The sequence below is a fragment of the Homo sapiens genome, chromosome 6, assembly GCF_000001405.40.
Source record: "Homo sapiens chromosome 6, GRCh38.p14 Primary Assembly".
Taxonomy (NCBI): domain Eukaryota; kingdom Metazoa; phylum Chordata; class Mammalia; order Primates; family Hominidae; genus Homo; species Homo sapiens.
In genome coordinates this window covers 29,656,457-29,681,793 of record NC_000006.12, presented here as the reverse complement: position 1 = coordinate 29,681,793, position 25,337 = coordinate 29,656,457, and the positions used below count along the sequence as shown (strand labels likewise).

General features: G+C 46.8%; 2 protein-coding genes across 12 annotated transcripts, besides 9 other annotated features; one reads left to right on the top strand and one right to left on the bottom strand.

Moving 5' to 3' along the window:
• On the top strand, positions 642-9,402 carry ZFP57 (ZFP57 zinc finger protein). Of its 2 annotated transcripts, NM_001109809.5 has the most exons (5): positions 642-732; positions 4,428-4,913; positions 5,735-5,861; positions 6,307-6,408; positions 8,036-9,311. In NM_001109809.5, the coding sequence occupies exons 2-5, from the start codon at positions 4,791-4,793 to the stop codon at positions 9,292-9,294; spliced, it is 1,611 nt and encodes a 536-aa protein (NP_001103279.2). In that variant the 5' UTR covers positions 642-732; positions 4,428-4,790; the 3' UTR covers positions 9,295-9,311. The 2 variants fall into 2 exon arrangements, with proteins under 2 accessions (NP_001103279.2, NP_001353262.1); NM_001366333.2 differs by lacking the exon at positions 4,428-4,913 and having other exon boundaries at positions 8,036-9,402.
• Positions 1,019-1,540: an enhancer, noted in NCBI's record as "H3K27ac-H3K4me1 hESC enhancer chr6:29648031-29648552 (GRCh37/hg19 assembly coordinates)". NCBI's record gives its function as "activates a minimal SCP1, AML or CMV promoter by ChIP-STARR-seq in primed H9 embryonic stem cells {active_cell/tissue: H9 hESC(primed)}" and the evidence as "EXISTENCE:reporter gene assay evidence [ECO:0000049][PMID:30033119]".
• Positions 1,541-2,061: an enhancer, noted in NCBI's record as "H3K27ac-H3K4me1 hESC enhancer chr6:29647510-29648030 (GRCh37/hg19 assembly coordinates)". NCBI's record gives its function as "activates a minimal SCP1, AML or CMV promoter by ChIP-STARR-seq in primed H9 embryonic stem cells {active_cell/tissue: H9 hESC(primed)}" and the evidence as "EXISTENCE:reporter gene assay evidence [ECO:0000049][PMID:30033119]".
• Positions 9,429-24,702, bottom strand: MOG (myelin oligodendrocyte glycoprotein). Of its 10 annotated transcripts, none has more exons than NM_001008228.3 (8): positions 24,497-24,702; positions 22,128-22,475; positions 15,529-15,642; positions 14,131-14,151; positions 13,870-13,890; positions 11,573-11,620; positions 11,073-11,093; positions 9,429-10,622 (listed from the first exon to the last, which is right to left on the bottom strand). In NM_001008228.3, the coding sequence occupies exons 1-8, from the start codon at positions 24,582-24,584 to the stop codon at positions 10,609-10,611; spliced, it is 675 nt and encodes a 224-aa protein (NP_001008229.1). In that variant the 5' UTR covers positions 24,585-24,702; the 3' UTR covers positions 9,429-10,608. The 10 variants fall into 10 exon arrangements, with proteins under 10 accessions (NP_001008229.1, NP_996534.2, NP_996532.2 ...); NM_206811.4 differs by having other exon boundaries at positions 9,429-10,372; NM_206809.4 differs by lacking the exon at positions 11,573-11,620 and adding an exon at positions 11,397-11,513.
• Positions 14,307-14,916: an enhancer, noted in NCBI's record as "NANOG-H3K27ac hESC enhancer chr6:29634655-29635264 (GRCh37/hg19 assembly coordinates)". NCBI's record gives its function as "activates a minimal SCP1, AML or CMV promoter by ChIP-STARR-seq in naive and primed H9 embryonic stem cells {active_cell/tissue: H9 hESC(naive and primed)}" and the evidence as "EXISTENCE:reporter gene assay evidence [ECO:0000049][PMID:30033119]".
• Positions 14,394-14,603: a silencer, noted in NCBI's record as "fragment chr6:29634968-29635177 (GRCh37/hg19 assembly coordinates)". NCBI's record gives its function as "represses an EF-1alpha promoter that drives an FKBP-Casp9 reporter gene in an ReSE screen in K562 erythroleukemia cells {active_cell/tissue: K562}" and the evidence as "EXISTENCE:reporter gene assay evidence [ECO:0000049][PMID:32094911]".
• Positions 14,917-15,526: an enhancer, noted in NCBI's record as "NANOG-H3K27ac hESC enhancer chr6:29634045-29634654 (GRCh37/hg19 assembly coordinates)". NCBI's record gives its function as "activates a minimal SCP1, AML or CMV promoter by ChIP-STARR-seq in naive H9 embryonic stem cells {active_cell/tissue: H9 hESC(naive)}" and the evidence as "EXISTENCE:reporter gene assay evidence [ECO:0000049][PMID:30033119]".
• Positions 18,377-19,290: an enhancer, noted in NCBI's record as "NANOG-H3K27ac-H3K4me1 hESC enhancer chr6:29630281-29631194 (GRCh37/hg19 assembly coordinates)". NCBI's record gives its function as "activates a minimal SCP1, AML or CMV promoter by ChIP-STARR-seq in primed H9 embryonic stem cells {active_cell/tissue: H9 hESC(primed)}" and the evidence as "EXISTENCE:reporter gene assay evidence [ECO:0000049][PMID:30033119]".
• Positions 19,291-20,205: an enhancer, noted in NCBI's record as "OCT4-NANOG-H3K27ac-H3K4me1 hESC enhancer chr6:29629366-29630280 (GRCh37/hg19 assembly coordinates)". NCBI's record gives its function as "activates a minimal SCP1, AML or CMV promoter by ChIP-STARR-seq in naive and primed H9 embryonic stem cells {active_cell/tissue: H9 hESC(naive and primed)}" and the evidence as "EXISTENCE:reporter gene assay evidence [ECO:0000049][PMID:30033119]".
• Positions 20,206-21,120: an enhancer, noted in NCBI's record as "OCT4-NANOG-H3K27ac-H3K4me1 hESC enhancer chr6:29628451-29629365 (GRCh37/hg19 assembly coordinates)". NCBI's record gives its function as "activates a minimal SCP1, AML or CMV promoter by ChIP-STARR-seq in naive H9 embryonic stem cells {active_cell/tissue: H9 hESC(naive)}" and the evidence as "EXISTENCE:reporter gene assay evidence [ECO:0000049][PMID:30033119]".
• Positions 21,502-21,938: a silencer, noted in NCBI's record as "fragment chr6:29627633-29628069 (GRCh37/hg19 assembly coordinates)". NCBI's record gives its function as "represses an EF-1alpha promoter that drives an FKBP-Casp9 reporter gene in an ReSE screen in K562 erythroleukemia cells {active_cell/tissue: K562}" and the evidence as "EXISTENCE:reporter gene assay evidence [ECO:0000049][PMID:32094911]".

Genomic DNA, 25,337 nt, shown 5'->3' with positions numbered 1-25,337 from the left:
TACAGGTGTGAGCCACCGCTCTCAGCCGCGTGTTTTAATCATAATACTTTGGTCTTTTTTTTTTTTTTTCGTAAATACTTTCCTCTTTTTTTTTTTTTTTTTTTTTTTTGAGATGGAGTTTCACTCTTTTTGCCCAGGCTGGAGTGCAGTGGCGTGATCTGGGCTCACTGCAACCTCCACCTCCCGGATTCAAGCGATTCTCCTGCCTCAGCCTCCTGAGTAGCTGGGGTTACAGGCGCCCGCCACCACGCCTGGCTAATTTTTGTACTTTTAGTAGAGACGAGGTTTCGCCATGTTGGCCAGGGTGGTCTTGAACTCCTGACTTCAGGTAATTCACCAGCCTCGACCTCCCAAAGTGCCGGAATTACAGGTGTGAGCAATCGCGCCCAGGCTTTTTTTTCTTCTTCTTTTAGAGTCAATTAAGACTGGGAAAGCGAAAATCCTAGCGCTACTTGGGACCAGCAGCTATCAGTTGGTCGGAGGCTCGAAGTGGTGGTGCATGGCCGGGCTGTCTGTGATTCTTAGGATGGGAAGCTTGACCTTGGCGGGCTCACCCTCTCATCTGGGTCAAGGGGCACATTCTCGGTGGCCTGATGACTGGGAGGGAGCGGAAGAGGGCGGGGCCGGGGTGGGGCCGCGGCGCCGGGACTGCGGGTGCTCGGCCGGAGCGCTCCAGCCGCTGGTCCCCGGGAGACCCTGTGCCCCTAAATCGCGGTCCACTGCGCGCGTCAGGTGAGTAGAGCGGCGGCGGGGAGTCGCGCTAGCGGTAGTAGAGGCTGATGTTGGATGTTGTCCCCACTCCTCTGACTCTTCCGCAGGCCAGGGGAGCACTGCGCCCCTAATCTTGGAGGGGCTTCCAACCTCTGGGGTCCTCCGGGGAAACGTGGGTTAGTCTGGGGTGTATCCAGGTGCCCTGTCCACTGTGGGCACTCTGGGGATTCCGGGCCGAGGAAGGGCTCCTGGCACGTGTTGAAAAAGTCGGCATCCCAGAAGGAAGATTCTGGGCGGATGGGCATCGGGGAAGGTAGTCCCAACCAATGGGACCGTTTCTGAGCACATAAGCGCATTCAGTGGGTGCTAACAAGCGCCTGCTTTGCCAGGCGACAGTGAGCAAAACCGGCTTTGTTCCCGGCCACCGGAAGCTTCGAGGCTGGGGTTCCGGATCTGGGCGCCCAATGACAAACTAAGCGCGGAGGACAGGGCCAGGAGCGCCCACCAGGGCGGCGATCTGGTGGGTAGGTGCAGGGCAATGGCTGGAAAGGGTCCCCGAAGCCCTGAGCAGAGACCAAAGGGCCGTGCGACTGCAGGAAGGCCATTTTGCTTGGCTGACAGGCGGAAAACTCACGTGGCTGGAGTAGCAGGGTTGGTGACGACAAGGGTGAATCCCACTAAGCATTGCAACTGTTTGCGGTGTGAGGGGTGAGGGGGATTCTCATCATTCTCAGAATTGCTGTGGATAAAGGGTTTTGGGTTGGAGAGAGACTGGGTGCACTCAAAGGACTGAAAGATGGCGACGACACATTCCCTCAGAGGATTTACATTCTGGAAGGGTGGGGACAGGCCCGGGTACAGATAAGCCCGCAGGCGGCCTCCAGCTCTTACAGTCGAAAGTCTGATGAGTTATGCCCAGTCTCCTTCCTCCTCCCGCCGGCATGAGGTTTGGGGCCCTGTGGATGAAGGAAGTTCATGGGAGGCAAACGTGCCTGGGCAAGCAACAGCCGCAGAGATTCAGTCCCCACGGGGGTTAGAATCCACACTTAGGGCCTCTGCCTACCGCCTCCAGCAAATGCCATCTTGAGGACTAGCGGCAGCAGTAGGTCTTCTCTGCCAGAGAACTGGAAGGCCAGGTTCTTGAGGGCACTGTTACTAAGGCGTTTTTTTTTGTTTGTTTGTTTGTTTGTTTGTTTTTGAGACGGAGTTTCACTCTCATTTCCCTGGCTGGAGTGCAATGGCGCGATCTCCGCTCACCGCAACCTCTGCCTCCCGGGTTCAAGCGATTCTCCTGCCTCAGCCTCCCTAGTAGCTACGATTACAGGCATGCGCCACCACGCCGGGATAATTTTGTATTTTTAGTAGAGACGAGGTCCATGTTGGTCAGGCTGGTCTCAAACTCCTGACCTCAGGTGATCCGCCCGCCTCGGCCTCCCCAAGTGTTGGGATTACAGGCTGAGCCACCGTGCCCAGCCTTATTAAGGCTGTTTTGAAGTGCAGTTGGCTGGAAAGTGGAAGAATAATCCAAGATCTGCATGCCTCATAAAAGGAGTGCGAATGGTTTTGAAAGACAGGAAAGGAAAGGGAGAGAGAGGAAAGAAAGAGAGAGGAAGAAAGGAAGGAAATCAAATTCATATCCCAGGAATGCACCTTTCATGACAACATTTTGGAGATCCAATTAACTCTATTCCTCGAGGGCGTTTTTCCTTGCTGGTATTTTCAGTTCTATTAACACTTCTCAAAAAGTGAAAGGAAAAAATAGTCAACAGGGTTTTTTGGTCTTTATTCTTTTCTTTCTATCTCTAGTAAGGGAGATGTGGGTGAGTGGCTGTCAGCAGGAAAAGGTGAGAGTTCAGCTATGTTTGCATCTGAGCAGGAAATTTCCAAGGATGAGCAGGGAACTCCAGTGCTGGGCTCATTGTGAGCCCTGAATAAGTGATTGCTCTTGGGTTGTTAGCAGTATTCTTCACAAAGATCTGTATATACAGTGGTTCCCCTTATCCACAGGTGATATGTTCCAAGAGCTCTAGTGGATACTTTGTTTTTGTTGTTGTTTGAGGCAGAATCTCGCTCTGTCACCCAGGCTGGAGTACAGTGGCACAGTCTTGGCTCACTGCAACCTTCACCTCACGGGTTCAAGTAATTCTGCCTCAGCATCCTGAGCAGCTGGGACTACAGCGTGCCACCACGCCCAGCTAATTTTTGTATTTTCAGTAGAGACGGGGTTTCACCATGTTGGCCAGGCTGGTCTCAAATTCCTGCCCTGAAGTGATCCACCGCGCCCCACCCCAGTGGATACTTTGAAACCATGAATAGTACCAAACCCTGTATACACTATGGTTTTCTTTTTCTATACATACATAATAATGATAAAGTTTAATTTACAAATTAGGCATGGTAAGAGATTGACAACAATAACTAGTAATAAGATAGAACAATTACAGCAATATATTGTAATAAAAGTTGTATGAATGTGGTATCTCTCTCAAAATAATTTATATTGTAAATCTTAGCAACCTCAGCATATGATTATTTTTTCTTTCCTTAAGACAAGAATTTTTACCTTTTTATTTTATGGCTTCTCTTTGCATATCTGAATTTCCAGCGTCTCTACTCTTGTGCTTTTGGGTCATTATTAAGTAAAATAAGGCATTCTTGAGCACAGGCAACTGCTATACTACAGTAGTCAACCTGGTAACTGAGATGGCTAGCTACTAAGGAACTAATGGGCAGGTATTGTCTGCAGTGTGGATATGCTAGTCAAAGGGATGATTCACATCCTGGGCAGGCCAGAGAGAAAAGGTACAAGATTTCATCACACTACTCAGAATGTCAAGCAATTTAAAACTTAGGAATTGTTTATCTCTGGATTTTTTTTTGAGACGGAGTCTCGCTCTATGTCCCAGGCTGGAGTGCAGTGGCGCAGTCTTGGCTCATGGCAACGTCCACCTCCAGGGTTCAAGTGATTCTCCTGCCTCAGCCTCCTGAGTTGCTGGGATTACAGATGTGTGCCACTATGCCCAGCTATTTTCTTTTTGTATTTTTAGTAGAGACAGGGTTTCACCATGTTGACCAGGCTGATCTCGAACTCCTGACCTCAGATGATCTGCCTACCTCAGCCTCCCAAAATGCTGGGATTACAGGTGTGAGCCACTGTGCCTGTCCTCCGGAATTTTTCATTTAATATTTTTGAACCATGGTTGACCATGGGTAACTGAAGCATTGGAAAGCAAAACCATGATAAAGGGGAACTACTACATGTATTGAAAATCCAGATCACAGAATTGTGTGTGTGTGTGTGTGTGTGTGTGTGTATAATTTTGGTCATGGAAGAGATCTTAGAGAGTGTCTCCTTTATTCTCACATTTCTGATGAAACCAAGTCAGAAAGAATAAAGAGACTCACTCGAGGTGATCTGTGACAGATCCTAGCCTGGTTACCCCAGCTACATGATTTCCAATGGTACTGAGTCTAACATTAACATTAGGTTTAAACATTAACTTTTGTAGATCAAGAATGTCCACTTGTCCTTGGAAAATTATTTAGCATCTCTGCATTAGGTCCTTAAGACAGGGCCAGTAATTGTTACCTCATTGCTGAGAGCATCCAGTGGCACACTGTAGGGGTTTAGTAACTGCTGGCATTCCCTGACCAAATAAGGAAGCTGTTTCTTACCCTCCCTCTTGCTGATATGTTTTGTTTTTCTCTGACCTCAGGTTTCTAGAAGCAGGGTAGAACAGACGGCAGACACCTAGCCCAGGCTGGTGTTGTTACTAAACAATGGCAGCTGGTGAGCCAAGGGTGACCAGGGCCCTGAACTCGGTGGCCCAGCTTTGAGGGAAGCAAAATTGTTCTCAATTGTGGAAGAGGAGAATTTGGACAGCAGAACAAAAAAGGAAGACAGCCTCTTGGAGCAGATACATTTGTCACAGGAAGCCACATCAAACCCTGGGGCCTTTGCTGGGCCTCTCCATCTGCCCAGTTACTGGGAGGTAGATAGCCCCAGGAAGGAATCCAGTCAGGCCTGGGCACCAGGCCAGGAGTGGATAAAGCTAGAAAGAGACACCACAGAAGAGAAGATGTTTGAACAGCTGAAGCCAATCGAACCTGTACAGAAGACGCTCCCATGGGTGGGCGAGGTAGCTGCCACCCTGCAGGAAGCCATGAAGAGAGATTGCTGGAGGGAGGCACGGGTGAAGAAGGTGAGGAGACTAAGCTAGAGAGAGGTGGGGTCCAGGTCCTGGACTCCAGGAGCTCTTTCATACATACTCCTGCCTGCAGGTCAAATGAAATCTCAGATTGTTCCAGACTGAACGACATCCAGAAAAAGGAGCTGCAAGACCTTTCTCCATCTCCCGCACCATCCTGGCATCCTTCATGGAGTACTTCCTGAAATTTGTTAGAGTGGCAGCATTTTTTCCTTCGCTTTGCTTTCCTGTTTATATTCTGCATATCTGCATATCCTCTTTCCTCTCCCCCACATCTTATCTTTCTCCCTTTCTCTTCATCTTTCCTTTCCTTTTTTTTTTTTTCTTTTTTTTTTTTTTGAGACGGAGTCTCGCTCTGTCACCCAGGCTGGAGTGCGGTGGCGCGATCTTGGCTCACTGCTACCTCTGCCTCCCGGGCTCAAGCAATTCTCCTGCCTCAGCCTCCTGAGTAGCTGGGATTACAGGCATGCGCCACCATGCCCAGCTAATTTTTGTGTTTTTAGCAGAGACCAGGTTTCACCATATTGGTCAGGCTGGTCTCGAACTCCCGACCTCGTGATCTGCCTGCCTCAGCCTCCCAAAGTGCTGGGATTACAGGCGTGAGCCACCGCGTCCGGCCTCCTTTCCTTTCTATACTTCACAGTTGCTGGCCTTGTGTCTGTCTTTTAATATTTCTCTCTTCCTTCCATGGTTTTATCTTTCTCTTAGGTTTTAATTCTCTGAATCTTGAGACTGGATGTTAATCTTGTACACACACACACACACACACACATATATATTTATATAAACTTCTTGAGTCTCTCCTGTTCTTCCAGAAGCCAGTCACCTTTGAGGATGTGGCAGTGAATTTCACCCAGGAAGAGTGGGACTGTCTAGATGCCAGCCAGAGGGTCCTTTACCAGGATGTTATGTCGGAAACCTTTAAGAATCTAACATCTGTGGGTAAGAGGCTGGGCTTCCCTCAGCAAGCCCCCTGTCCTAAGGGCCCTGGAACATCTGGTTTCCCTGGACAGGTAGATCAGCTTACAATTAGTTTCACTGACCCCTGGTTCTATGCTTTCCAGGTGTGAAAGATCTGAGTCACTAAGCTCAGTGGTAAAGAGAAGAAATGATAGCCTGCATGAAGGCAAAGATAACACTTGTAACATGATGACAGTGTTCTCAAAATATGCAAATTTTTCCATTCATCAAACAAATATTTACTAAGTCACTCCTGAGAACCAGGTACTTTGCTAGCAGCTGGCCTTTTAATGTCTCCTTTCCGCATCTACATGTCCCAGGTTATGGTTCTTAAACAAAGGCTACAGGAGGTAGCCTGTTGTCCCCATCAGATGTGAAGGGGCCATACCTGGGACCAACTCAACTCTTTCTCATTCCCACACATCAGCCAGAATCTTTCTGCATAAGCCAGAGCTAATCACCAAGCTTGAGCAAGAAGAGGAACAGTGGAGAGAGTTTGTCCATCTCCCAAACACAGAAGGCCTTTCAGGTAAGAATTGCCAAGCAGGGAGGAAGGGGAAAAGGGCCCAGGATAACCCCTGAAAGGATGGAGAGCTGATGAAGAGGATGAATGCTCTATAGATGCTCTCCTAGTGTACCTCTGTCCAGCCTGGTCAGACTTGGAGTTGAAAGAGAGCTTAATATCATAGGCTCAAGTCCCTTGACTTCAAGTTGAAGATCCAAGTCTCTCTCTCTCTCTCTTTTTTTTTTTTTTTTTTTTTTTGAGACACAGTCTCGCTCTGTTGCCAGGCTGGAGTGCAGTGGCACAATCTTGGCTTACTGCAACCTCCACTTCCCGGGTTCAAGCGATTCTCCTGCCTCAGCCTCTCGAGTAGCTGGGACTACAGGCATGTGCCACCGTGTCCAGATAATTTTTGTATTTTTAGTAGAGACAGGGTTTCACCATGTTGGCCAGGATGGTCTTGATGTCTTGACCTCAGGTTATCCATCCACCTCGGCCTCCCAAAGTGCTGGGATTACAGGCATGAGCCACCGTGCCTGGCTGGCTGAAGATCTAAGTCTTTCAGGAGAAGTAGATGTCTTCAGTTTCTAGAGATTGAGAGATGACATGAAAGTTGCTTATGTCCATGATAGTGCTCTGATTAAAATGTTCTTTCCAAGAGAAAAGAGAAGCAAAGGAGATAGGTTTCATGCTGGGTTGGAGTAAGGGAGGCTTGTCCCTGGTAGTAAATAGTTGAGAGAGATATCAAGCCAGGCTGATACACTTTTTGGTTTTCCAGGACAGTCCTGGTTTATACTTCTCATCCCAGCTTGATTATTAATAACACCTCTTTTCACCCTCAAGTGGCCCAGTGTTCATGATGCATTATTATGTGGGTGTCTGTGGATTGTCTATGGGAGTTTGAGCAATATTGAGAATGAGATAAGATAGATTTCAAGAAGTGTTGTTGTAAGTTAAAATTTACATTTCTGACAGTGTTGAAAGATTCCAGTTAACTTTTTATTTGCTTCTAATTTGAAAAGCCAATTTTTTCTTTTTTTCTTCTTATTTCTAGCCTATGAGGCCCAAGGGTAAGGATGAATGTGTTGGGTGGGAGAGCAAGGGCAGAGACAAGAAGTGTGTTAGGCTGAATGGAGTGCTGTGTTGGAGTTCTTCTTCTTCCTCTTCTTCTTCTTCTTCGTCTTCGTCTTCTTCTTCTTCTTCTTTTCTTTTCTTCTTCTTCTTCTTCCTTCTTCTTCTTCTTCTCCTTCTCTTCTCCTTCTCCTTCTTCTCCTTCTCCTTCTTCTTCTTCTTTTTCTTTCTTTCTTTTTTTTTTTTTGAGACAGAGTTTCACTCTAGTTGCCCAGGCAGGAGTGCAGTGGCACCATCTTGGCTCACTGCAACCTCCGCCTCCCGGGTTCGAGTGATTGTCCTGCCTCAGTCTCCCTAGTAGCTGAGATTACAGGCAGATGCCATGACGCCCAGCTAATTTTTGTATTTGTAGTAGAGACAGGGTTTCACCATGTTGGTCAGGCTGGTTTCGAACTCCTAACCTCAGGTGATCCGCTGGCCTCGGCCTCCCAAAGTGCTGGGATTACAGGTGTGAGCCACCATGCCAAGCCTCTGTTGGAGTTCTTACAGTGAATTTTGTGTTATTCTTCCTCATTCACTGTAGAAGGCAAGAAGAAAGAGCTTCGAGAACAACATCCCAGTCTGAGAGATGAGGGGACTAGTGATGACAAGGTCTTCCTTGCATGCAGAGGGGCCGGCCAGTGCCCCCTATCTGCCCCAGCTGGGACTATGGACAGGACCCGGGTGCTTCAAGCATCCCAGGCTGGGCCACCCTTTTTTTGCTACACCTGTGGCAAATGTTTCAGCAGGCGCTCCTACCTCTATAGCCACCAGTTTGTTCACAATCCCAAGCTGACTAACAGCTGCAGTCAGTGTGGGAAGTTGTTTCGGAGCCCCAAGTCCCTCAGCTATCACAGACGCATGCATCTTGGGGAGAGGCCCTTCTGTTGCACGCTCTGTGACAAGACCTACTGTGATGCTTCTGGACTAAGTCGTCACCGCCGCGTCCATCTGGGTTACCGGCCCCATTCATGCTCTGTGTGTGGGAAGAGCTTCCGGGACCAGTCTGAGCTCAAACGCCACCAGAAGATACACCAAAACCAGGAGCCAGTGGATGGAAACCAGGAGTGTACTTTGAGGATTCCAGGCACCCAGGCTGAATTCCAGACACCCATCGCCAGAAGCCAGAGGTCCATCCAGGGGCTTTTGGATGTGAACCATGCACCAGTGGCCAGGTCCCAGGAACCCATATTTAGAACTGAGGGTCCTATGGCCCAGAACCAGGCATCTGTACTTAAGAACCAAGCACCTGTGACCAGGACCCAGGCACCCATCACTGGAACCCTCTGTCAGGATGCCAGATCCAACTCTCATCCAGTGAAGCCCTCAAGACTCAATGTCTTCTGTTGCCCCCATTGTTCTTTGACTTTTAGCAAGAAATCCTATCTCTCCAGACACCAGAAGGCCCACCTCACAGAGCCGCCCAACTACTGCTTCCATTGCAGCAAGTCTTTCAGCTCATTTTCCAGGCTGGTCAGACACCAGCAGACCCACTGGAAGCAGAAGAGCTACCTTTGCCCTATCTGTGACCTCTCCTTTGGGGAGAAAGAGGGCCTTATGGATCACTGGAGGGGCTATAAAGGCAAGGACCTGTGCCAGAGCAGCCACCATAAATGCCGGGTGATCCTGGGCCAGTGGCTTGGCTTCTCTCATGATGTCCCCACTATGGCTGGGGAGGAATGGAAGCATGGAGGTGATCAATCTCCCCCCAGGATCCATACCCCCAGGAGAAGAGGCCTAAGAGAGAAGGCCTGCAAAGGAGACAAAACAAAGGAGGCAGTGAGCATCTTGAAACATAAATAAATGGCCTTTCTGACTGAGCTCTTTCTTTGTGTTTAGTTTTCCTGAGGACTGACCTCTGGGGTAATGAGGCTGGAGTAGAGGGAGACAGGTGCGTGGATAAGGAAGGAAATACATAAAAGACAAGGGGTTAGAAGTGTGCTTATGAAAACTTGTATTATTATTTTTTATTTATTTATTTATTTATTTATTTATTTATTTATTTATTTATTTTTGAGACAGAGTCTTACTCTGTCACTCCGGCTAGAGTGCAGTGGCACGATCTCAGCTCACTGCAACCTCTGCCTCCTGGGTTCAAGCGATTCTCCTGCCTCAGCCTCCGGAGTAGCTGGTATTATAGGTGCCCACCACTATGCTCAGTTAATTGTTTGTATTTTTAGTAGAGATGGGGTTTCACCATGTTGGCCAGGCTGGTCTTGAACTCCTGACCTCGTGATTCGCCCGCCTCGGCCTCCCAAAGTGCTGGGATTACAGGCGTGAGCCACCGCACCCGGCCAAAACTCGTATCTTTATTAATTAGCACCTAGCTTGTTTGTTTGTGTCTGACCATCAAGTAGTAGTTGTTGAATAAACAGTGGATACTCTGATAGATATGAAGATAGGAGAAAAGGATGAGAGGAAGGAAAGATTCTGAGACCTGTGGAAGATGTGTAAGTAGAAGGAAAACATTCTAAAGCAGGCATGTTGCCCAGCTTTCGTTTTTGCTTCCCCAGGTCCCTAGTAGGCTGCCAAGACAAGGAGGAGCTCTGGCTAGTATTCTGTAGGTTTCTCCCCATCTCCAGGTTTGGGTTGGGGCTACTCATATCCTCACTCTTCAGCTCACTCAGCTCTCTCTTCAATGTTTTGCACTCTTCCTCTTCCTTCCCTTCACATGCCTTTCAGTTTTGCGCAATCAGGGCTGGAGTCTTGGAAGAAACAACCACCATTTGCAAAGTTACCATACTGTAATTTTCAGTGAGGAGATTCCTGGCCTCCAGTTCATGGCAGAGACCATCCTGTGTTGCTCTCCAGTACAGGTGTCCTCTGATGGAGAGAGGGGCACCTGCCTGTCCTTAGCCAGAGAGGGCTTCCAGGTGGAAGACTGGAGAGAGAAATGGAAAGAAGGGTAATAAAAATGGGAAAATGAAGAGAAAAGGTAGATGACAGAAGAAGGGAAATCAATTCTACTTGGAATTCAGAGTGTTCCTGAAAGTGCAAATTGGAATGTCCCCATAGCAAAGATGCCAGTGAGTGTGCAACTTGATGGATGAGATGTCCCCAAGGACAAATCCCTGGGCAACCAGGCTCTCCTCCACCCCTGCCAAGATGTGACATCACTCAGAAGGGATTTCCTAGAAGAAGGAGAAAATAACTTGAAAAACGTATGTCAGTAGTTTGTATCATAAAACCATTGAACTAGGGAGAAGAAAAGCCCTTGGGGTCATCTTGTCTCCATTCCTGCCTCAATGGTTGATCTGAGAGGTGAGGCACTGGGCAGTTGCTGTGGAATGGGCAATGAGACCAGCTAGGGTTGGATTCCTGCTTAGGGGCAGTGAAGGAGGAATGGATCAGGTGGCAGATAGGAGTGCCTCCAGCTTCTCTGCCACCTGTAAATGTGTCTCTAACAGCTGGCTTCTTTGCCCTCTACCTCCCAGGAGGAGTCTTCCCTCCACCCAGGCTCTCCAGCTCCTCCTTTCCTCTGGGAATGTGATCCCTCAATAGCCCGCCTCTTCCTCTTGTTGCTTCTGTCTCCCTTTCCTGGCTTTTTATTCTCTGCTTATAACAGAGAGAAGAGAACTTACGTAGCTCTTCAAGGAATTGCCCTGAAAACAAAAAGAAACAAATATGTGATTAGTGGAAGATGAATAGCACCTTCCCCACATCCTCCCTATGGACATTTGGAGTGACCCACACTGCCCTTTCCACTGGGGGATCCCACAGATCCAGTAAGTGGTTCTCTTCACAGTTTCTCAGAAGAGCCTGGGGTTGGGCATGGGGACAGAGGAATAAGGAAATCCCAGCTCCCCTAATCTTGAGTCCTGGTTCTATTCTCTTTTGGCTTCCCATTCAGAGCTGACTTGGTCCCCCACTATTTGGTGGTCTTGCCTGCTGCCCAGCCACTGCACCTGCTAGTCTTCGATGTAGCCAGTTGTAGCAGATGATCAAGGCAACCAAGGGTCCAAGAACCGGCACAATTACAAACAGGGTTATCTTCCAGCAGGGCACCCTCAGAAAGTGGGGATCTGAATTGTTCACCAGAACAAACAGGGTTAACATGTGTTCCCCCTCATGCCCCACCCACCTGTCTTTTTTGGTTCCTTAACCTGGGGTCCTAGAACACCAAAGGACTCTGGGGACAAAATTCAGAAAGTCCATGAACTTGGATGAGAAAAGTACTGCCTCCTTATTTTCAATAACTGGATTTAACATTTTCTTTCATTAAAAATGTAACAACTGCCAGGTGTGGTGGCTCATGCCTGTAATCCCAACACTCTGGGAGTCCGAGACGGGTGGATCATGAGGCCAAGAGTTCAAGACCAGCCAGGCCAACATGGTGAAACCCCATCTCTACTAAAAATGTAAAAATTAGGTGGGCGTGGTGGCACATGCCTGTAATGCCAGCTACTCAGGAGGCTGAGGCAGGAGAATCGCTTGAACCTGGGAGGCGGAGGTTGCAGTGAGCCAAGATCCTGCCCCTGCACTCCAGCCTGGGCCACAGAGCAAGACTCTTGTTGATCCCACCAACACCCATTCCCCCAAGTCTTGGAAAAAACAAAACAAACCAAAACATTTTACAACTAACCACAATATGAGCAGTACCTGTGACTTAATTACCAATGGAAGCCACAGATGTTTTCATTCCCATTAGAGTTATTGCAGAAATCTTGAAATACTGTTTATGTTTATTAGTATGTTGAAATTAAAGGTTATTGGGCTGGGCCTGGTGGCTCATGCCTGTAATCCCAGCACTTTGGAAGGCCAAGGCAGGCAGATCACCTGAGGTCAGGGGTTCAAGACCAGCCTGGCCAACATGGTGAAACCCCGTCTCTACTAAAAATACAAAAATTAGCTGGGCATGGTGGCATGCGCCTGTAGTTCCAGCAACTTGGGAGGCTGAGGCAGGAGAATCGCTTGAACCCAGGAGGTGGAGGTTGCAGTGAGCCGAGATTGTGCCATTGCACTCCATCTCAAAAAAACTTCATCTCAAAAAAAAAGAAAGAAAGAAAGAAAGAAAGAAATTACAGGTTATTAGACTTGCTGCTACATTACTTAATGTATTACTTTGGCTAAAGAAATATTTATGGCCGGGCACGGTGGCTCATGCCCGTAATCCCAGCACTTTGGGAGGCCAAGGCAGGTGGATCACCTGAGGTCAGGAGTTCGAGGCCAGCCTGGCCAACCTGGTGAAACCTAGTCTCTACTAAAAATACAAAAATTAGCTGGGTGTGGTGGCGGGCACCTGTAATCCCAGCTACTCAGGAGGCTGAGAATCGCTTGAACCCGGGAGGCAGAGGTTTCAGTGAGCCTAGATCGCGCCATTGCACTCCAGCCTGGGTGACAAGAGCAAAACTCTGCCTCAAAAAAAAAAAAAAAGAAACATTTATGTTACTATATCACAAATGTGATTATCGGTTGATAACTGTATTTTAGTACAATGATTGTTTTTGCAATCCTATGTGTTCTATTTTATGTGTATATTTAAAAACATTCTGCAAAGGGGTCCTTTAGACTTCACTGGAGTGCCAGAGAGATTCATGGTACAAAAAGGAGTTAAGACCTTTCATAGTCAAGTCCTCCAAAACAAAGATACTATTCCTCCTCTTTGGGTGTGTAAAGATGTGTGTGTGTGTGGTCCACACACTGGTCTAATTTCCTAAATCGTACGATAGAACTCTGTGTGCCAGGTGACAAGAGTAGAGTCACCTACAGCCTCGGGAGGAGGAGCTGTGAAGGAAGTTTGCTCAGAGAAGGTACCATCTGTGCCCTAATGACACCTTCTAGTGTCTGCAACATTTATCTAACAAATATTTGGGTGCTCTTCTGTTGCCATTATCTTTAGGCATTGGGCAATCTGCAGTGAACAAAAAGGCTAGAAACCATGTCCTTGAGGGGTCAATTCCTAGTGGGGCTTGGTGGCTTTTCTATTCCTCTATGAGGTCTTCTCTGATTAGTCATGTTCTGTACTCATGGAAACATCCTGAGTTTGTAAAGCAGAAATATAAGTACAGGTGATACAGTTGTGTCTTGTTTCTGTTTGTTTCACCTCCCCAACCAGACATCAGGTTTACGTGTAAACGATCTATTTACCTCTGTTTTGCCATTCCTGAAAAGAGAGATCATGTGCATAAGGAGTTAAACAGAATAAGATAACATTTTTGTAAAGTAGTTAGAATAGTGCCTGGCACATAAAAACAGTACATGAGTATTTTTATTATGATTTTACCAATCCTAAATGCAAATGACTTCTTATTTAAAGAAAGAAAAGAGAAGAGAGGAAGGGACTCAACCAGGAGCCAGGGGTCCTTGTTCCCCCAGGTGACTGGAACTAGAGTGAAATACCAAGTTGACCTGGGAGGGCCTAGACATGCCGGAACTTACCAAAAGTCCGGTGGAGATTCTCTGAAAGAGAAACAAATGGAAATGGATTTAGTAGGGCACTCAAAAAGGATCTTTTATCCTGAGTCTTTGTTATTTAATTACTTAAAACTTGTTCTAGGCACGACACACCCACTGTAGAGAAAGGGAAACTGAGGGGAAAACAGGGTATTGAGAGGGAGAGACGGTCCAAGAACGGGACCATTTCCGTTATGCCAAAAAACCAAAAGGCAAGAATTGGGAGAAACGATGACTGGAACTCACCTATCTCTGCTCGAAGTTTTCCTAAAATAGAAAAAGGCAACATTTTAGTTCCTGCATGTTCTGGCTCTCGGTGGGGACCCTCCCACACCCAGCGCCTGGGCCCCTTGTGCAGGCTATTTCTCTGCAGCCTGGAAACAACCTCAGGAGAGTAGGAAGAGCACTGGATTTAAAGCCAATGGTTGCGGCTCTTTCTCTAGCTATAGTCTAGATACAATAGCGAATAAAGAATGTGAGCAATGCTCCAAGCCAGCACAAGCATCCAATACATCCCAGCTGCTCTTCGCCCCTTTTCTTGGATTCTCAGTTCACAGAGCTGCTCCAGCCCACTGCGTTGCCACTTTGTTTATCTAAAGCCACTTCCCATCTGAATGAGGAGGGAGGAGCTGAACATTTAGTGAGTAGCTAGCTACTTTGTGACTGGATTTGTAGTAGGCACTTTGCATGACTTTAATCCTCCCTACAATTTAGGACGAAGGATGTTTTCTCTATTTGACAGACAAGGCAACTGAAGCTTGGAGAATCTAAGAATTTTGCTATAGAGTTCAGTACCTGAGATGGAATTCAAACCCAGGCTGCCTGACTCTAACATTCAGATTCTTTCTGCTCAGCCATGAGGGCTGAAGGCCTTTTTTTGTGTGGAAGAAGTAAACAAGCAGGCATCTGGGATGAATTCAAGGTGAGAGAAAGGACTTTGTTGTTGATCGCACCAACACCCATTCCCCCAGAACATTCCCCATACCCTCCTTGCTACTTTCTCCTCTCCTCTTAGTAACAAATGGGAGGTGGGGCATGGGGAGGAGTGAAGACTCTTCCTGCTCTGGCATTGGGGAGACACTTGGTAGGAGGAGAAGGCTCAGAATGAAAGCTCTAGGCAAAAAAGAGGAGCTTCATCAGCAGCTGAACCTGAGTCCTCAGTGTTGAATGGAGAAAGAGGAAACAATTTTCGAACGCCTACTGTGTGGTAGAGACTTTCACTTCAGTATCTTTATTCAAAACTCCTAATAGCCTAGACCTGTCTGACTTCGAAGCTCACACTCTCCCAAGTTGCATGGAGCTGCTAGGTATGATACAGAGGCCTCAGCTCTACCACTTATAAGTTATATCGGTTTGAGTAAGTCACTGAACTACTCCTGGCCTCAGTTGTATCCTCTGTAAAATGGGGTTACTATATGGCATAGTTAGCTCATAGGGAAATGCTAGGTCCGATTATTCATATGAAAGCATTCCGTAAGATGTAAAACTCTTTCATCATGGAGTTATTTTTTTTCTTTATCACTCAATAGTGAGAAGAACTTCTGAACCCAGAAGTCACTCACAAATACATGTTAAGTGGTGTAGCTCCAAGAAGCCAGCTCATTTAAAGAAAGGATCCTGATCCACCCACCCTCTGCCCTGTACCTCTCAGTCTGTACTGCAGGCAGAGGAAGATGAGGCCAACAGTGATCTGCAGGAGGAGCACAGGCAGCACCGCGAGGAGAACCAGCACTCCAGGGCTCACCCAGTAGAAAGGATCTGAAAGGCAGGACTGACATTTGACATTGTCCAGAGCTGAATCCCCAACACTCAGCATGGTGTCTGGGGCCCAATAAATCAGGTCAAATAAAGAAGTGAATATCATCAGGATTCAAAGAAGGTGACACAGAATTGGTCCCTGAGCTTAGCCCTGAAGGAAAAATGGCTTTTTTTTCCAGGAAATGCTAGTGATTTAGAATGACAAGTGGTTTAAAGTCAAGATTGTGTATTGGGTCAGGCTGGGGGAGTTTTAACGAGCAGCTAAGGGACTTACATCTGAAGTCCCTCAAGGGACTTTTTATTGACGACAAAGTCAAAGGTTCTCTTCATATTATTGTGGTGTATCGCCTACAAGCATAATTAAAATAAACACTAAATTTCAGTTTAAAGTTTACTGAAAATAAATATGTATTTCAAATATGTAGTTCAAGGCTGTGGTGGTGCACTGAAGGATTCCAAGCTGAGAAGTGACCACGTCAGATTTAGCACCTACAGGACTGGAGAACATAGGGAGAAATGTTAAGAGACTGTGATAACAATTAAAGTAAAAAACAACATGAACCTGAACTAGGACAGTGGTAATGGTATAGGAAGTCAGGGGATTCAAAGCTTAAATAGGGAATAAAAAATACATATTTATTTTCAGTAAACTTTAAACTGAAATTTAGTGTTTATTTTAATTATGCTTGTAGGCGATACACCACAATAATATGAAGAGAACCTTTGACTTTGTCGTCAATAAAAATCACAAATATTGGCCAGGTGCGGTGGCTCACACCTGTAATCCCAGCACTTTGGGAGGCCGAGGCGGGCGGATCGCCTGAGGTTGGGAGTTCAAGACCAGCCTGACCAACATGGAGAAACCCTGTTTCTACTAAAAATACAAAATTAGCTGGACGTGGTGGCACAGTCCTGTAATCCCAGCTACTCAAGAGGCTGAGGCAGGAGAATCGCTTGAACCCAGGAGGCGGAGGTTGAGGTGAGCCGAGATCTTGCCATTGCACTCCAGCCTGGGCAACAAGAGCGAAACTCCATCTCAAAAAAAAAAAAGAAAAAGAAAAATCACAAATATTTTCACGTCACATTAGAAAAGTCACAGAAATCTCAAACTATCACTTATGTTCATTACTATTTTGAAATTACACTAATTAATAGGGTCACCCTAACTCTTGTTAATTTAATATTTTGATAACTGTATTTTGGTATAAATGTTTTATTTGGTGTATTTAAAACATTCTTCTGGCTAGGTGTGGTGGCTCTCCCCTGTAATCCCACCACTTTGGGAGGCCAAGGCAGGAAGATTGCTTGAGCCCAGGAGTTCTCGAGGCCAGACTGGGCAACATAATGTGAGACCCTGCCTCTACGAAAAAAAATTAAAAATTACCTGGGCATGGTGACACAAGCCTGTGGTCTCAGCTATTCAAGAGGCTGAGTCAGGAGGATCACTTGAGCCTGGGAGGTGGAGGCTGCAATGAGCCATGATCGTGCCACTGCAACCAATCCTGGGTGACAGAGTGAGACACTGTCTCAAAAAAAAAAAAAAAATTCTGAGATGGGTCTATCAACTTCATCAGCTTGCGGAAGGTGCATGACACACAACAAAAGGTTAAGAGCCCTCTTCTAGAGCTTTTAAGAAGGTAGTTTACAGCGGGCATGGTGGCTCACACCTGTAATCCCAGCATTTTGGGAGGCCAAGGTGGGTGGATCACTTGAGGTCAGGAGTTCGAGACCGGCTTGGCCAACATGGTGAAACCCTCTCTCTACTGATAATACAAAAATTAGCCAGACATGGTGGTGCAGCCTGTAATCCCAGCTACTTGGAAGGCTGAGGGAGGAGAATTGCATGAACCTGGGAGTTGGAGGGTGCAGTGAGCCGAGATTGCACCATTGCACTCCAGCCTGGGTAACAAGAGCAAAACTCCATCTCAAAAAAAAAATAAATAAATAAATAAAAGAAAAAAGAAAAAGAAGGTAGCTTACACAGGATTCAGTAACTGAACAGATGTGCAGACCTGGAGATGTGGAGTAGGTTGAGCAATGAGGGAGGGGGACCTTCACTTCTGTGGCTCCCATCTATTTCCCATTCTAGGTCTGCTCCTCAGCATCCAAAAGCCCCACTCTAATCTCCATGTGCCATGCTGCAGCTGAAGCCCTTTTCATCTTGATCTCTGCTTTAAGGGAGCTGAGTAAGGATAATGACATCAAAGGTAGGGATACATCACAGCTAATAACATTAAACTGGTCCAGGAGGGTTGCTTAGGTATAATTACAATCCTTCAAGCTGTAGACTAAGGCTCCTGTCTATCATTGTGTTCCCTAGGGGAAAATGCAGCTACCTTTACTTTCAAGTTCTTAATGGAAGTTACCTGTAGCAATGTGATTTAGCGAGTATGTACTTAAGGGTTTTTTTCTCCCAACCCCCCACATTTTTCCTTTCACAAATAATTAGAAAAGAGAGAAAAGCAGACATTATCAGCCTCCGGATGTAAAGCAACAAGAAGTATAGAGTATCACTGATGAACTATATTTGCCAAAGTAAATCAAACACAAATGTCATTGCACCTCCACATCTATCAGTTTACAGAAAAACACAGGGCATGGAGGACCGTATTACATAGCAACATGGGAATGTCGTCAACAAAATTCAGACCCTGGGAAACCCTAAGGGCAAAGGTCAACAGGTGGGTCTCATTTGAATCTCGCTAAAAGAAACCAACTGTAAGAGTATATTTATGAAACAATCAGGAAAATTTGAACACAAACTGGGTATTTGATGATATTAAGAAATTTTTGTTGAGTTTGTAAGATGTGATAATAGTATTGTGGTTATTTATTTATTTATATTATTGTGTGTGGGGAGGGGGGGCTTTTTTTTTTTTTTTTTTGAGTCTCACTCTGTTGCCCCAGGCTGGAGTGCAGTGGCATGATCTCAGCTCACTGCAAGCTCCGCCTCCCGGGTTCACTCCATTCTCCTGCCTCAGCTCCCAAGTAGCTGGGACTACAGGCGCCTGCCACCACGCCAGGCTAATTTTGTTTTTGTATTTGTAGTAGAAATGGGGTTTCACCATGTTAGCTAGGATGGTCTCAATCTCTTGACCTCATGATTCGCCCTCCTTGGGCTCCCAAAGTACTGGGATTACAGGTGTGAGCCACCGCGCCCGGCCTATTTATTTTTTAAAAAGTGTTCTTCGCTGGGTGCAGTGGCTCGCGCCTGTAATTCTAGCACTTTGGGAGGCCGAGGTGGGAGGATTGCTTGAGCCTAGGAGTTTGAGACCAGCCTGATCAACATGGTAAAACCCAGTCTCTACAAAAAATACAAAACATTAGCAGTGTGTGGTGGTGTGTGCCTGTGGTCCCAGCTACTATGTAGGCTGAGGTGGGAGGATGGCTTCTGCCCGGGAGGCAGAGGCTGCAGTGAGCAGAGATATGCCACTACACTCCAGCCTGGGTGACAGAGACAGATCCTGTCTCAAAATAAATAAAAAGAAAAAAAAGAAATGATCATGCTGCCTAGGATTTACCTCAGTAATTGAGTAGGGGAGGGTGGTAATGAGTGGGGAGCCGGTGAGGTGGGTGGTCCCTGGATTGACAAGTGCTGCAGCAAGGTGGTAGGCACTTGGAGGCTCATTATAATATTATCTCTGGTTTGTATGTGGTTTTTTTTTTTTGAGACAGAGTTTTGCTCTTGTTGCCCAGGCTGGAGTGCAATGGCGCGATCTTGGCTCACCGCAACCTCTGCCTCCCGGTTCAAGCGATTCTCCTGCCTCAGTCTCTCAAGTAGCTGGGATTACTGGCATGTGCCACCACGCCTAGCTAATTTTGTATTTTTTAGTAGAGACGGGGTTTCTCCATGTTGATCAGGCTGGTCTCGAACTCCTGACCTCGGGTGATCTGCCCGCTTCGGCCTCCCAAAGTGCTGGGATTACAGGCGTGAGCTGCCGCGCCTGGCATTTGTTTTTATGTTTCATAATGAAGAATTTAAAGAAAGGATTAGAGACAACTAGTAATAAAATCACAAAAATGACAAGAAAAAAATAAGTAAACAAGAGAAATTAGAAACTCTTCAGAGAAAGAGCAGAGGTAGTTACACCTGAGACTTGCAATAATACCATTACTTCATCTCATTCCTAAATTTGTCTCAACTTCCTGGCTCCAAAGCCTAGACAAAGCGTCCCTTATTTACTTGTAAAACAGTTTCTTAGGCATGCAGACGAAGAGGTGGGAACAGGAGGTTGGAATGTGGATAGCAACCCAAAAGAGAACTTTCTCCCCTGAGGCAAAGTCTTTAGCTGCTTTTCTTTTTGTCTTCCTTGTTTTTTTTTTTTTTTTTTTTTTGAGATGGAGTTCCACTTTTCTTGCCCAGACTGGAGTGTAATGGCACGATCTTGGCTCACTGCAACCTCCGCCTCCGGGGTTCAAGCGATTCTCCTGCCTCAGCCTCCCAGCTGGGATTACAGGAATGCGCCACCACGCCAGGCTAATTTTGTGTTTTTAGTAGAGACAGGGTTTCTCCATGTTGGTCAGGCTAGTCTCGAACTCCCGACCTCAGGTGATCCACCCGCCTCGGCCTCCCAAAGTTTTGGGATTATAGGTGTGAGCCACCGCAACCGGCTTGTCTTCCTTTTTTGGTGTGGTGAAACTGAGGGAGTTTGTTGGGAGAGGCAGTTACTGAGCTAGGAAGTTGTTGAGCAGGAAGGAGAAAAATCTGCAAACTGGAGAGGGTCTCACTATCAAACTTTTCGGCAAGTAGAATTTCCCCAATAAAAACAGCTGTATGAAGAACATTCTGAGACACATAAAGCTATTTCCATATCCCTGCAGGCAGTCTCTAGAAATAGTGCTTTGTTGTTCCACATACAATGCCATCTTCTGGTCCCAGCACTGCAATGGTCACTCCCACCTCCAAGATACAATAGTGATCAATTGTCTGATGTTTGCACTGCAGGTGGGGAGGAGGAAAAGGCAGAGGATCTGACCCCCAGGCTCTCAAAGCAGTTTAGTTCCTCAATTAAATAGCAAGTAACTTTCAAAGCTCCCCCTCCATCGGCTTCACCTTGTCCACATCTTAATCATCCTGCGATAGAGCAAAAAATATTCTCCAAAATCACCCATCATGCAAAACATGTTGAAAATGAAATTCTGAGGCCGGGCACCATGGCTCATGCCTGTAATCCCAGCACTTTGGGAGGCTGAGGCGAGTGGATCACCTGAGGTCAGGAGTTTGAGACCAACCTTGACAACCTGGTGAAACCCTGTCTCTACTAAAAATACAAAAATTAGCTGGGTGTGGTGGTGGGCACCTGTAATCTCAGCTACTCGGGAGGCTGAGGCAGGAGAATCACTTGAACCCAGGAGGCGGAGGGCGCCATTGCACTCCAGCCTGGGTGACAGAGCGAGACTCTGTGTCAAAAAAAAAAAGAAAAGAAAGAAAGGAAAAAAAAAAAGAAATTCTGCAATTCTGCAGAATGAAATAGTGGAGGTACAGCCAAAAAGTGACATCTCCTTTCTATAATTATATTTAGACATTTGATTTACTTGCTTATTCACTAGGACCAAGCACAGGTGTGTGTGTGTGTGTGTGTGTGTGTGCGCTCACAAATACAGGGTTTTTTTTTTTTTTTTGAGACGGAGTCTCGCTGTGTCCCCCATGCTGGAGTGCAGTGGAAGGATTTTGGCTCACTGCAACCTCCGCTTCCGGGTTCACGCCATTCTCCTGCCTCAGCCTCCCGAGTAGCTGGGACTACAGGCGCCTGCTACCATGCCTGGCTAATTTTTTTTTTTTTTTTGTATTTTTAGTAGAGACGGGGTTTCACCGTTTTAGCCAGGATGGTCTCGATCTCCTGACCTTGTGATCTGCCCACCTCGGCCTCCCACAGTGCTGGGATTACAGGCGTGAGCCACGGCGCTGGGCCCAAGGGTTTTTTTGTTTTTGTTTTTGTTTTTTTTAGAGACGGGTAGGGAGTGGGGGTGAAGGTCTTTGCTCTGTCACCCGGGTTGGAGTGCAGTGGTGCAATCATAGCTCACTGTAACTGCAAACCCCTGGGCTCAAGCCAGCCTCCCGTCTCAGCCTCCTGAGTAGCTGCGAGGCAAACCACCATGCCCTAGGGTTTTGTTTTTGTTTTTGTATCCTACAGCAGCTTGCTCTTATCACTCAATAATACCTTATAGAAGGCCTCCAAACCATCTGGCCTAGTGCTAAAATAATCTTTTTAATGCCTGCATAATATTCACAGTATGGCTACCATTGTTCATTCTGTCACTTACCTACTCAAAGGCATTGATTTTGATCCCAATTTCCTTGCTACTCTGAATAATGATGCAACAGACATCCCTAAGCATGAGTTTCTGTTTATTGATGTGTACATTTTTATGGAAATCATTCCCAGGACTGAGATGTTTGGGTTGAGGGATCTCATCTCAGTTGAGAGAATAATTGTTCTTGGCCACCCAACAGTTAATACCTAATATTATATGGCACTACTCACCTTCTACTTTCAATTCCATTGCTGCCTCCTCTTGGTAAGAATGATCTCGGAAGAAGCAGGTGAAACCTCCTTCATCTGAGAACCTTACATTCCGGATCCTGAGAGTCACCTTTCCCTCACCAATAGCATCTTTCAGCAGCTCTGTCCGGCCCCGATATTCAGGTGCCTGGTCTCCATCTTGGTCCTTGCCATTTCTGTAGAGATGAACCACCCTAGAGAAGGGGGGGCGGTACCACCCCACCTCCATGCCTGTAGCGTTCTTCCCAGGAGATATGCGACATGGCAATTCCACTTCATCCCCGACCAGAGCCCGGATAGGGTGTCTTGGTCCTATCACTCTGAACTGCCCTGTCCAAGACACCAAAAGGAAGAGATTTAAGGTCAGAGGGAACCTTGGCAAGCAAGCCTGTCATGAGAAGGGCTGCTTCAAAACAGGGAAGGAAGAAGACACTCGACTTTTAAATGACATTCTAGAGCCAGGGAGGATTGCAATTGTTCTTCTTCTTCTTCTTCCTTTTTATTTATTCATTTATTTTTTGAGACAGTCTTACTCTCTGTCGCCCAGGCTGGAGTGCAGTGGTGCAATCTTGGCTCACTGCAACCTCCGCCTCCCTGCAACCTCCGCCTCCCAGGTTCAAGTGATTCTCCTGCCTCAGCCTCCCGAGTAGCTGGCATTACAGGCACCTACCGCCGCATCCAGCTAATTTTTGTATTTTTAGTAAAGATGAGGTTTCACACTGTTGGCCAGGCTGGTCTCGAACTCCTGACCTCAGGTGATCCGCCTGCCTTGGCCCCAAAGCGCTGGGATTATGGGCATAAACCACCACACCCGGCCTCAAGTTTCCTTCTTGAGAACAACAACGACAAAAAAGACTCTGGTTATAGAGATACTGTGAATGTCCTGGACAGAACATTTTAGCAATCATCTCCTCTCAGCATCTGCCCATCTTTTTGCCAGCTGTAGCCATCTCTGACTCTTCAGCCCAGCCTTTAGGTTCCCTCTTGGAATGTGGCACAGCATCTTGAGGTTGAATCCTCCTATGGGCCTCCCTGTTAGGACTTGGCCAAATTGCTGCCTATTCTACCCTTAGAGGTTTTGCTTTTGTCACTCCATCTACTTTAACTGTCTCTCCATCACTTCTCACTATTCAGTCCTTGTTCATACCTTGTTTCCCAAATTCTCTTCTGAGATCTTCCACCCTGGGGATGGCTCTATTTCCCTCTTCCTTCCCCTGTATCTTCCACCTCACTGTGGCTCCCGGACCCTGACCCGAAAAAGTTCCTTGTTTTTTTCTATGTGGATGTGTTTCTCAAGTCAGATTCTGAGCTACTAAGAAATAAGGCTGCTTTCTCCCCTAGACCTGGAGAGTGGATGCACTGTGCCTCTGTCAGTCAGGTGGCTCCCTGAGGATGGGAAACTTTCTGTTTATTTCTCCTCTGCACGTGACAGCCGGGTTCCTTTATAAAAACCTACTGGTGCCTGATTATGCAGAGCAAAGTCTCAAACATGACAAGATATTATAATTCCACAAACATTTATTGAGATTTACTATGGACAGGCACTGCTAAGCATGTTACATATCTCATTTCATGTAATCCTGATGAGAACTCCAAGAGGTTGTTATTATTTTATCTCAATTTGAGAGGTGAAAAGACAAAGCTGGAAAGACAAGTAAGAAGTAGTTCAAGGAAAGCCTTGAGTTAGTCACATTAAGGAGTCTGGGTCAGACGCAATGGCTCATGCCTGTAATCTCAGCACTTTGGGAGGCTGAGGAGGGCAGACCACTTGAGGTCAGGGGTTCCAGACCAGCCTGGCCAACATGGTGAAACCCCATCTCTACTAAAAATAAAAAAATTAGGCCTAGTGCAGTGGCTCACGCCCATAATCCCAGTACTTTGGGAAGCTGAGGCGGGCGGATCAGCAGGTCAAGAGATCGAGACCATCCTGGCCAACATGTGAAACCCCGTCTGTACTAAAATACAAAAAAAAAAAAAAAAAAAAAGAAAAGAAAAAATTTAGCTGGGTGTGGTGGCAGGCGCCTGTAGTCTCCGCTACTTGGGAGGCCAAGTCAGGAGAATCGCTTGAACCAGGGAGGCTGAGGTTGCAGTGAGCCGAGATCATGCCACTGCACTCCAGCCTGAGCAACAGAGGGAGACTCTGTCTCAAAAAAAAAAAAGAGTCTGGACTCCATCTTGAAGGCTGTAAGAACCACCCACGGAAGGTTTCTGAGGAAGGGAGGCATGTCAGTAGGTCTATGTTTTAGAAAGATAATATAGCAACTTGAGGATGTTTGAAGGAGCTAAGCCCCAGGAAACTAGCCTTTCTGTTTTCAGGGTCTCCCCAGGGCAGGAAAAAAAACATGTCTTACCTGCATAGCTGGAAGACACTTGGAGGAGGAGGAGGAGGAGGAAGGAGCAGAGGCAGCTGGGCAGAGAGGGTCTTGATAAGCTTGCCATCTCTACTGTTCCTGGGGACAGAGAGCCCCCGCAGCAAGGTCAGGCCAAGTGGAGGCCCTTGGGGTGCATGTCCCCTTACTGCTGAAAAGCCCAAGGGAAGATCTTGGAGGGCAGTGCTGCCTGGGCCCTGCCTCCACTCCGGTAATTGCTGCAGCTGTGCCCGCAGAAACAGCCCCACGTCACCCTTGCCAGGCACTCACACAAAAGGGCTACAGACTGAGGGGATGACCAGGGTTTGCCTTCCCCACCCCCCCAGAGCAATGGAGCAGAGGCTGCCTGGTACAGGGCTTTCCTCCCCCACTCCCTCCTGGAGATCCAACCTTTGAAGGGTCTTCTAGGGGCTAATCAGTGGGGCAGGATCACTTACAGGACCTTAGGAAGAGGCTTGTTCATGGAATATGTAAGCTTCCTCCAATCCACCCCAGCCCTACTGACTAGTCAAAAGAGAGAAATTATTATTGGTTCTTAAAAAAAGAAAGAAAACTTAGATTTCTTTTTCCTGTTTCTATTATCTCACAACTGTCATCACCAGACCATTCTTCTTAATGTCTAACCTCCCTTTCTTCTACCGCGAATCCAAACTCTGCCCTGTATGTTTGTATATGTGATAGGTCACTTGGGATTTGTTAGTTTCTTGTTCCCAAAGAATGTTTTTAGGGAAGTCATGAGATGAATGTCAGGTGTGCTCAGAGAGGCAAGGTTGGAGGAAGGGAGACCAGCAAGGGCAGCAACTAACTATGTCAGTCAACACAG